The sequence below is a fragment of the Homo sapiens genome, chromosome 5 (assembly GCF_000001405.40).
Source record: "Homo sapiens chromosome 5, GRCh38.p14 Primary Assembly".
Lineage (NCBI taxonomy): Eukaryota > Metazoa > Chordata > Mammalia > Primates > Hominidae > Homo > Homo sapiens.
In genome coordinates this window covers 171455637-171466423 of record NC_000005.10, presented here as the reverse complement: position 1 = coordinate 171466423, position 10787 = coordinate 171455637, and the positions used below count along the sequence as shown (strand labels likewise).

The window sequence follows — 10787 nt, the reverse complement described above, 5'->3', positions numbered from 1 at the left end:
TCAAAAAAAAATAAGAAAAGAAAAGAAAGAAAATGTTGTAGCCAGGTGCGGTGGCTCATGCCTGTAATCCCAGCACTTTGGGAGGCCAAGGCGGGTGGATCACCTGAGATCAGGAGTTCGAGACCAGCCTGACCAACATGGAGAAACCCTGTCTCTACTAAAAATATAAAATTAGCTGGGTGTGGTGGCGCATGCCTATAATCCCAGCTACTCCGGAGGCTGAGGCAGGAGAATCGCTTGAACCCGGGAGGCAGAGGTTGTGGTGAGCCAAGGTCGCGCCATTGCACTCCAGCCTGGGCGACAAGAGCGAAACTCCAACTCAAAAAACAAAAGAAAATGTTGCAAGTAGGAAGGAAGGAGGGAAGAGAGGGGAGGCCTGAGTTGGTGTAAGCATCTGGATGAGCGTCAGAGTGTGAGCACACAAATGAGGACTAGGAACACAACAGCCTTGACCATCTGATCTCCTTCCCTTCCTGCCTCCAGCTCCCAAGCTCCACTTGCACCCCCAAGCTCCTGTCATGCCACATTTCTGTAAACCTTCATACAACTTTACTTCTCTCCACCTTTACACGTGCTGTTCCTTTGGCCTGGGCTGCTCTTCCCTCTTTCTCTTTGCAGTTAAAGCTCTATTCAGCCTCCCTAAGTCTCCTGACCCCCAGCTCTCACCCCCTTCCCAGGTAGTCATCACCTCCTCTGTGCATCCAAAGCTTTAGGTTCTGCCTCTCCACCTTCCTCTCTTGCTGCCTCAAAGTCCACCTGTTTCCAGCACTCAGCTGTGAGCTCCCCAAGGGCTACCTCTTGACATACCCACGAGGGACTGTACTGAGGCACCTCTGTGCTCCCAGGGCCCAGGAGAATGTTTTCTAGGTTGATGCTGTGCGTCTATGCGTGCAGGTAGACCATCGAATCACGGATTAGACTAGACTGGGCTCTTCACAATTTTTTACTCATGAACTGCCTTAAATAATTTTGAAAATCATATATTTTTAGTAGAATCCATCTCATACTCAATTAAGTTCATCTAAATCAAATAAATATTCATGGAGAATGAATACATGAGCAGTGATGAGTGAGAGAAAATAAGATTCACACCCAAGTTTTAAAAAAGTGAATGTGGATTTATAGTAGCCAGTAATCTTTTAGCACAAGTTAAGTGAAAATATTCCCCCCACAAGTCAGAATAAATGTTCAAGATAATATAAAACACAAACTTCAGCTGGGCGCGGTGGCTCATGTCTATAATCCCAGCACTTTGGGAGGTCGAGGCCGCAGGTCACCTGAGGTCAGGAGTTTCAGACCAGCCTGACCAACATGGCAAAACCCTGCCTGTACTAAAAATACAAAAATTAGCCGAGTGCACTGATGCATGCCTGTCAACCCAGCTACTTGAGAAGCTAAGGAGGGGGAATCGCTTGAACCGGGGAGGCAGAGGACGCATTGAACAGAGATTGCACCACTGCACCACTGCACTCCAGCCTGGGCGATAGAGCAAGGCTCCGTCAAAAAAAAAATAAAAAATAAAAAACGCAAACTTCCCGCCAAGACAGGATCATATTTACTCAAAAATGACCAGTAGACAGCAAGTTTGGAACATTTTACCTCCTTCTCTTTAGAATTGGGCAAAATACAGAGATATAAAGCAAGGAAGGATGGATAAGAAAATGCTCCGGGCATTCCTCGTTCTCAGCATGCTGTCTCCAAATCTTAAACATTGTGATTCTGAGATGATTTTGTTGGTCAGCAGGTAGGTAGGTAGGTAGGTAGGTAGGTGGATGGACAAATAGATTGACAGACGACGGATGGATGAGAGAGTCAGAGAGAGAGAGACAGCATGGAATGTAGCCATGAGTTTGTGTCCCTGAATGAGTTATCCCTACTGCCAATATTTCTCATGCTATCATAATACCCTCCCTTAGTAGTGAATACTGAATGCATTCCAGGACAATATTTGGGGAATGAAAGACACGCGGTAACTCAAGAAAAACTGTCAATATTCCCCCCATCTGACTGTACAATATACCTGAATTCAGAGTAGCTCAACATGGGCCAAAACAGGGGCCGCATTTTGCCCTGAGCCCTTACCACGAATGCATGGCACCAGGATTCAAGGGAGTTCCCCACACTGAGATGGGCCCTGTATTCCATAGTCTGGAGTTTTCTACACACCAGGGAACACACACAATGAAATGCGGGGCCAGTAAGAGGTGTACCTTTCCGTTGTAAAGTGCAGAAGAGTATTGTGCAAAGTGGGTGGGAAGAGGAAACACAGCCAGTGAGAGGGGCGTTCTGCAGCAGATGGGTTAGGAAAGAGCTCTTGGAATATGTACATGGATTCCCTAAGATGACAGTATCCATGTGCCTCTTGGCCTGGGACTAGAACACATCCTTGTATGGCCATACTGTACAAAGAAGGCGGGAGCATGAGTGTAAAAGAAGGGGGCAGAACAGTGGTTCTCAAACTGTGGCCCCAGACCAGCAACATCAGTATCTCTTGAGAACTTGCTAGAAATGCAAATTCTCGGGTCTACCCTAGATATTTAAGCAGAAGCTGTAGGGGTGGGCCCCAGCAATCTGTGTGTTCACGAGCTCTCCCGGGAACTGAGGCACAGTTGAGTGAGAACCTCTGGTATAGACCTCTCTTTCTTTTGTGATCACCCCTTCTTCTGGTAACAACACTTCCACATTCTTGGGGAAGCCACCCCCTCCCACTTTCAGACCTTATACTTGGGTAGAATTGGCTTATCCCTTCCCCAGCCCAGCTCCAGGGACTGGCCCCTGTCCTAAGCCTGGACAATTAAACTATTCTGTCTCCCTGATCACAGTGACTGATGTAAGAGTACGCAAGAGAGAGGGTTAAGCCAATCAGAGTCCACCCAGGGACTTTTACTGGAGCCTCTGGGAAAGATATGTTCTTAAGTTACTAGTTCTCTTTCTGCCGAAGTTATTAGTAAGCCTAGAACAGCAGGGAAAGCCTTCCTGAGGATAAAGCCAACACAGCAGAAAGCAGGGAGAGGAGAGTGAGCACCTGGATCCAGCTTTGCCTGAAGCCAGAGGGCTGTGCACTTTTCTGTTACATAAACCAATAAATGTCCTTATTGGTTTAAGTCGGTTTTCATGTGTTTCTGTCACTTGCAGCTAAAAGAATCCCGAATAGCACAGGAACAGGAGTGAAGGTGCAGAAGGGGAGGAGAAGCAGGTTCTAGAACCTGATAGACATGGTTTCAAATCCCAGCTTCACCACTTAATAACTGTGACCTTGAGCAAGTCACCTTGCCTCTCTGGTCTTCCGTCCTTATGTAAGACAGGAGTCACACCAACTCTTGGGCATGGGGGTTGCCGGGGGGGCGCTGTTCTGTGTCATAACAGTCATGCGCAGGATTTGGGGAGTCACACAGATGGCCTTAAGCAAGTGACCTCCCTTCTGTTGGCCAGTTTCCTCATCGGTAGGGAGCAGATTAAAAATAAGTATCCAGGAGGATTGTGGTAGGAATTAAGTGAGAGAATTGGGGGAAGGCTCCCATAAAGCTGGTACTGGAAAGAGACTGAGGTCTGTGACAGTCTTTTTAAATCGGCTGCACCTCCAACCCACCCCAGAGGGTGGGTGACACGGGGCCTGCAGCTGCAGGGCGGTCAGCCTGGGAGACTGGAAGAGCAGGGCAGAAATTCTAGCAAGTGCTAATTGGGTCGTGAAGCTGCCCCAGGGAGGGGAGGGAATGCCTGATTAATGGCTGCTTGCTCTGCAGGGGGTCACACACCGGGGCTACCTGCCGCCTTCCCTCCTTGCCAGAGCTGGAAACCTCAGCCAGGAAGCCAGGCCGTCTTGGGACAGCAAGGGCGAGCCTTGCCGCCATCTGGTCCCCAGTTCGGCGGCCTAATGTTTGTAACAGACCTGCAAGCTAATTGCATGGTTGGGGAGCAGCCTTCACATCTTTAGCACCTAATTCACTATTGTTCTTTGGAAGCCCCAATCCTGCTGCTGGGGAGGGAGGGTTCTGCCCCATTTATGGGGCTTTCAAGCCCCGGGCCATCCCAGCCTCGCCTTGTTAGGCTCCAGCTGGGCAGGCAGGCAGGAGGGCATCCCCTCAATGTCCTTCAGACAGCCTGGGGCTGTGCCTCCCCACACCTGCGGCTCACCTGGCTGGCGTTGGTGGTACACTCCCAAAACACAGCCTCTCCCACTTGTCATGGGAAAGGCCCTCCCCACCCACCCTGGTAGGGCCACTTGCTTCTCTGGCCCTCAGCTTTGGAACTTTATTCCCCACTCCACCCCCAGCAAAGGCAGGGATGGAGAGGAATGCTGGGAAGGTGAAGAGTGGAAACAGGGAGATGTGGGTTCAAATCTCAGCCCAGTCACTTTCTACCGTGGAACCTGGGCCAATTACATTCCTCTACAGGCCTCAGTTTTCCCATCTACAAAATGCACATCCTAACATCTATCTTGCCAGGTTCTTGTGTCAATCAAATGAGATCAGAGTAACAGCTAAGAGAGCAAGAGCTGGCCAAGTGCGGTGGCTCACGCCTGTAATCCCAGCACTTTGGGAGGCCGAGGCAGGCGGATCATGAGGTCAAGAGATGGAGGCCATCCTGGCCAACATGATGAAACCCCGTGTTTACTAAAAATACAAAAATTAGCCCGGCGTGATGGCGGCCACCTGTAGTCCCAGCTACTCGGGAGGCTGAGGCTGGAGAATCGCTTGAACCCGGGAGGCGGAGGTTGCAGTGAGCCGAGATCATGCCACTGCACTCCAGCTTGGCAACAGAGTGAGACCCTGTCTAAAAAAAAAAAAAAAAAAAGAAAGAAAGAAAGAAAGAAAGAAAAGAAAAGAGAGCAAGAGCTTACTCTGCCCCAGGAACCGTGCACTAGAAGCTGGAGGTGTTTACATCAAGGGGGGCATAGAGCAGGAGGGCAAGGGGTGGCCACAGGGAGAGAAGACTCTGGGTCCAAACAATGCACAGGATGGGGGAGGTGGGGAGAGCACCCTTGCAAACAATGCACAGGGTCGGGGAGGTGGAGAGAGCGCCCTTGTCCCCAAATCCACTTCTGTCCCAGATTCAGGGGCCCTTCCTGCCATACTTGCCTGCCTGCCAAGGCTCAATCTTCACTCACAGCCTGCACCATTATAGGGCTGGTGGGGCGGATAGTGAGGGCCCCTCCCCACTGCCCTGCCCCTCCCCACTGCCCTCCCCCTCCCCACTGCCCTCCCCCTCCCCACTGCCCTCCCCTTCCCCACTGCCCTCTGCTGCAAATTTGGGAAGGATGAGAAGAAGGGCCTGGCTGGCCGCTGAAGGGGCCCCCGACTCACCCCACCCACTGTCATTCCTATGAATTGGTCATCTAATGGGCTCTATCATTAACTCACTGGAGGACCTGGAGGAAGTCGCTTCCTCTCTCTGGGTCTCGGCTCCCTCCTCTCTAAAGCAATGAGATGGAGAGAGAAGCATGAGAGGATAAACCCCCCTGCCTGGGTCCTCTCCCCTCTTCTGGGGCAGGAATCGTCCCCAGGTGTTTGCTCTGCTCTCTCTGGAGCATTACATTAGCCCCACAAGGTAGAATCGACTGGGATGATGAGAGACGCCACTCACAGAAAAGACGTGCCTTACCCAAGGTCACGCAGCTGGCAAAGTGGCCACGTCAAAGGCAAACTGAAGTGCTCCAGGTCCCATGTCTCTGCGGCCCCTATGACAGAAACGTCGTGGGGAGGGTGTGGAGGGTGGGAGAAGGGCTGCCATCGGCACCTGGGAATGTGGTCTACGCCTGCCTCTGCCCTCTGGTGGGTTGGGAAATGATGGATGCCAAGGCAGAATCAGGGGGTCAAGGGAAAAAGACTGGAACCTGGACAGATGCCAAGAGCTCCAAGCATCTGGACTTGGGTCAAGTTATAGCTCTAGAGACAGAAGGGCCTGGGTTCAAACCCCAGCTCCTCTATTTATTAGCTGTGTTGACTTCAAGCAAGTGACTCTACCTATCTGAGCCTGCTCTATAAAGTGGGGTTAAAAATGCCCACCTCAAAGGCTGGTGGGGTGGGCCCAGTAGGACTGTGCTTGGTACACAGTAAGGTTCCAAAAGTCATAGCTGTTATCCCTGGGGTTCCTACCCAGCTGGACTATGGCAACCCTCACTAGCCTCCTGCCTCAAGCAAGCGTGCCTAAGGAGACAGCATCTGTGGCTGGGAAAAGTGCCCCCCAGTCCACTGTGCTTATCATCAACATACTCATAGCTCAGGAAATGTCCAGAAAGTTCTGTCTAGAGGAAACAAAAGCTGGGCCCACATCTTCCAACATCAGGGACGCTAAAAGGCAGGACAAGGAAAGAACGCTGGTCCCACTGCCCCCAGGGATGGAGCAAAGGCAAGGTCTTTGGTACAGGAGGTGCAAGCAGCCTGCAGACCCAGGACAGAGGCCTGGGCTGTGCTGGGGCCAGGGGTGCATCAAAGCCAGGGGCAGGAGGCAGCATCGGGTCAGAGTGAGAGCCCAGGCTCTGGCGCTGGGCAGCCGGGTTAAGTGCTGCCCATCCTCCACACGGTAACCAGAGCAATCCCTCTAGGTGTAAGGCACATCACATGTGGCTCCTCATCTCACTCCAAATAAAAGCTCAGGTCGTGATCTGCCCCCTCCAATTCTCCCCCCAACCCCACCCACTCTGTTCCAGCCGTTCTGGCCCCTCTTCATCCCACGACAGCCCTCCAGGCTGTGGTACTCTCTGTGGAACACTCTTCCCTTGCTTCCTTCCTGCTCAAAAATCCCCCATCCAGAAGCCTCCCCTGACTACCCCATCTAAAATAGCATCCTCTATCCCCTCACCATGTTTTATTTTTTTCTTATGATTTGCCACTCCCTGCTGTTATATTTTGTATCTGTTTTATTACTGACCTTCCCTAATAGAATGGAAGCCCCATGAGGACCAGGGCTCTGTGCAGTTCACTGCTGTATCTCCAGCCCCTGGGACAGTGTCAGGCACAGAGTAAAGTCAATAAATACTTTTTGGATGAATGAGCAGATGACTGATTGCATTCTGGCTCCACAATTTTCTAGCAACACCCATCTCTTAGGGTTATTGTTTCCATTAAATAAAATAATACAGGAAGAGTGAACACAGCTGACATGTAACAGGTGCTCCATCGATGACAACCTGAATCACTGTGATTATCAGCCAGAGTCTCAGGCTGTCGTCTGTTCACTGTGAAGCCTAGGGCAAGCTGATACTCTCTTGGAGTCTCTGTCCAGTGTGGAAGCAGGGGTGCCCACCTCCCACGCAGGGATACCCACCTCCCACACAGAGTTGTCTGATGGATACCCAGGGAGCGCCCCTACTGAAGCCTCCAGCAGGGGTTCCGACAATGGTAGGCACTCTCCAAGTGGCAGCCGTCGCCATCCTGGAGAAGCTAAGATTTGGACACAGGTTCAACCACTTTCTTATTCTGTGATCTTGGAGAAGTGGCTTACTGTTATTGAGACTCAGTCTCCTCATCTATAAAATGGGGATAATAAAGGCATCCTGAGAACACCATGAGATGCGCAGCTAAAGAGCTTCACAAAACTCTACAGAAATGTGCTGTGATGGACAGGAGGGCAAGCCACAGACATGCGGGACAGGGCCCAGGGGTGAAGGGATGAGGTTTCGTGACGCAGAGAGCGAGGGCAAGACCAAGAGCTGCGCTCGGAAGAAGTGGAATGCCAACTCCAGCCAGGAACCTGCAGAGAAGGCACTCCTACCCCTCCCCACTGCCTCTGCCCCCACCTCTCCTTAGGGTCTCATGGGGACCTCTCCTGACCAGCCCTGGGGGGTAGTTTTCAAGGGAGGCAGGTGACAGCCACAGGACCCCAGCAGCAGAGGTGCCTTCTGCCTCAGGCTACCTCCTGCCCCACCAGGAATACATGGTTTGCCCCACAAAGACACTTAGGTTGGAGGCCATGGGGAGGGGAAGAAACAGAAACAGTCCCCCACTTGAAGCCTGACTGCTCACACAGCCCAAATCTCAGGGCAGAGGACTCAATAATCTTCAATCTGCCTCAATCCCGAGATTAACCTGGCCTCTCCCTGACATCCTGGGACAGGCCCTGGGAAATAAGACGTTGAAGGATGGGTACTTGGAAGGTAACATCACCAGATTCCTCAAGCTCCAGCCCATGGGAGTTTGAGGACAGACACGCCAGGTCCCAAACTGATCTAGATCCTCCCACCATATTCCCTGGTTCAACCTGTGCCTGGCAAAACACTGATGTGGAAGACACAAGTGACTCAATTAATCCCTAGACTGCAAGCTCTGACAGGCATGATTTCTTGTCTGTTTTATTCTTTGATGAATTTCCAGTACCTAGAAGAGTGCCTGGCGCTTAGTAAGTGCCTAAGAAATATATATTGAATGGATAAATCCATCAAGAAATGAGCAAATGAAGCAATGAATCAATGAATTACTAGAAGTGAAGTTCCCTGAGGGCTGGGATTTTCTTCCATGTTCTTGGATAAATCCCCAGGGTCGAGAATCGAGCCTTGGCACATGAGAGGTACGAGTAAATGCATATGAACAAATGACTGAAGAGGCCACTGAATCAATGACCCATTAGAATGGAATCTCCCGGAAAGCAAGGATTTCCATCTGTTCTAAGGCTGCCTTCTCAGCGCCTGGTGCATAGTAATGTTGAATTCAAAGAATGAATGAATGAATGAATGAATGAATGAATGAATGTGCAAGGCCCTAGCTCTCAGTGCAAAGACCACAGACCAACCAGAAAGCATGAGACACAGAGGCCACCCTGCCCCCGCCCTGCCACCAGCCACCAGCCACCACTCGCCTCATGGTTTTTTAAATAATTTGTCTGTTGTTTTTAATTGTTGAGGCAGTAATACTTGGTTCATGAAACTGCAATATACAGAGAGGTGAAATAAATAGCTTATATATATATAATATATATAATATAGCTGGTTTTAAAATATTCCCTTATCATTGGTGTACTAGGTCACGTGAGTCACGGAAGGTCGATAGCAGCATCCTCCAGAACTGCGAGCAAGGCAGGGTCACCATGATTGGACGAGGCGTCTGTCGTCGGGAGGTCGAGGCGCGGAGAATTCCCAGGGGCACGCCTTCCCTGCGCGGTGTCTCGGGGCAGCTTGCAGCGGACAATAAATAAATGACTGCAAACCAGAGAGCGATTTTTGTTGGAGTTTGGGGCAGGAACAGAGGATTGGGAAAGTTAGGGGGAGTTTGTTGGTGGGCGGAGTACTACTTTCTCTTTGTTTTTCTTTTTTTTTGTTTTTTTTTTTTTTCCTTTCAGAACCTTTGGGAAAAAGGACTTTGGTTTCTCAAAGTGTTGGTTTCCTCATTCAAGTCCTCCTCTGGGGACGAGTTTAGAGTTGTCTGTTCCTAGAGAGAGACAAGCACCTGTGGGTTGACTACAGTCCCTTTGCGTGAGTCTTTTGTCATCGGGGGTTTCAAGTCAACAATAAAATCCTTATCACCCCTCCCCCCAAGAGTTTTGGTTCAGTTTTTGTCTTCTTTTAAACACAATGTACAAAAATAGAGCTTCTTCCTTATTTTTCATGTAAAAATATTCCTCTGATGCAGTTTTCTGGGAGTGTGAGTGTGGCCAGGGCGACCTGAGGGGCCGCGGCGGGGTGGCCTAGGCAGGGTGTGTGGGCCGGATCCGACGGGACCTCTTGGTCACCGTCGTGTACTTGAAGGGCTTCTGAAGCTCCGGCTGCCCCTTGGGGTAGCGCTTCATGAAATGCACGTCCTGCTGGTTCTCCCGGGTCTTGGGGCCCTTCCGCGGCCGCCCCTTCTTGGTGAAGCCCACGTACCAGCCGGAGTACTTAGCCGACATCAGGGCCGTGTAGTTGTTCTCCAGAACCTTCTCGATGAACACACACTCCTTGCTGGTGCCATCGGGCTGCAGGGGAGAGAGGGGGAGTGTTCAAGAAAAAAATGACTCAGTTATGCTTGCCAAAGCACAGCGAGGAAGGTTTTATTCAGGACCATTGCGATTGTTGTAGGGACAACTGTAATGAAGTTTTGCAGTGGGGGAGAGAGATTGAGCTTAACTCTGAATATGGCACAGGCAGGTGGGGGTTTATAGCCAAGGAGCAGAGTGGAAAATGACTAAGAGGAAACATCGAGGGTGTAGGGGATTCTGGCTAAAGCCACCTAACAGAGACTTTGCTGAGGACAGGCCAGGGTGACCAGACATCACCTGAGGGATGGAGGAGGATGAGGACCCTGATCATATATCAAGAGTGGGGGATCCTTGCTAAACTGACTTAGCAGGGCTCTTGCTAAAACTGGATTTTACAAAGAAGTGCACAGATGGGCATAAGAGAAGGTTCAGGAGCCTGACTCTAGTTTGGCCGAGTGAAGACTCTTTGTTAGGAGGAGAGAGAGGAGACAGCAGGTACAAGGGGCATGGGCAGGAGGCTGTGGCTGGGGCAGCATAGGACAGAGAGCCTTCACTTCCTGGATCTGTGGAGTAAACTTTTGTTACTGGCCCCTGCATCTTTCCCCCACCCTCCAATTAGGTAACAGACTCCCATTGTCATTCAGAAATCTATTCCTTCCCCACTCTCCACCCAGATAGCCCAATGGCTCCACTTCATCCCTACCAGAGCAAGACATCCAGACACTATTTTCCCTGTGGCTTCAGTGATTGGCTCACAGGTGAGCAAGTGACCCAAGCCATCCAATCAGTGTTCCTTGAGACCTTTTCTAGGCAACCCCAAACATAGGTGGATTTAAACCAGAGGAGTTTGTAAGGCTGAAGCAGAGGCAGCCACTTTATCACCATGAGGGGAGATCCTG

General features: G+C 50.7%; 1 protein-coding gene across 1 annotated transcript in view, besides 1 other annotated feature; it reads right to left on the bottom strand.

Annotated features, from left to right (window-relative positions):
- Positions 4301-5274: an enhancer, noted in NCBI's record as "H3K4me1 hESC enhancer chr5:170888154-170889127 (GRCh37/hg19 assembly coordinates)". NCBI's record gives its function as "activates a minimal SCP1, AML or CMV promoter by ChIP-STARR-seq in primed H9 embryonic stem cells {active_cell/tissue: H9 hESC(primed)}" and the evidence as "EXISTENCE:reporter gene assay evidence [ECO:0000049][PMID:30033119]".
- Positions 8798-10787, bottom strand: part of FGF18 (fibroblast growth factor 18) — a 37980-nt gene continuing 35990 nt past the window's right edge. The window contains exon 5 of the mRNA NM_003862.3: positions 8798-9885. Coding sequence (NP_003853.1) covers positions 9619-9885 — 267 coding nt within the window. The 3' untranslated portion in view covers positions 8798-9618. The remainder of the gene's footprint in view (positions 9886-10787) is intronic.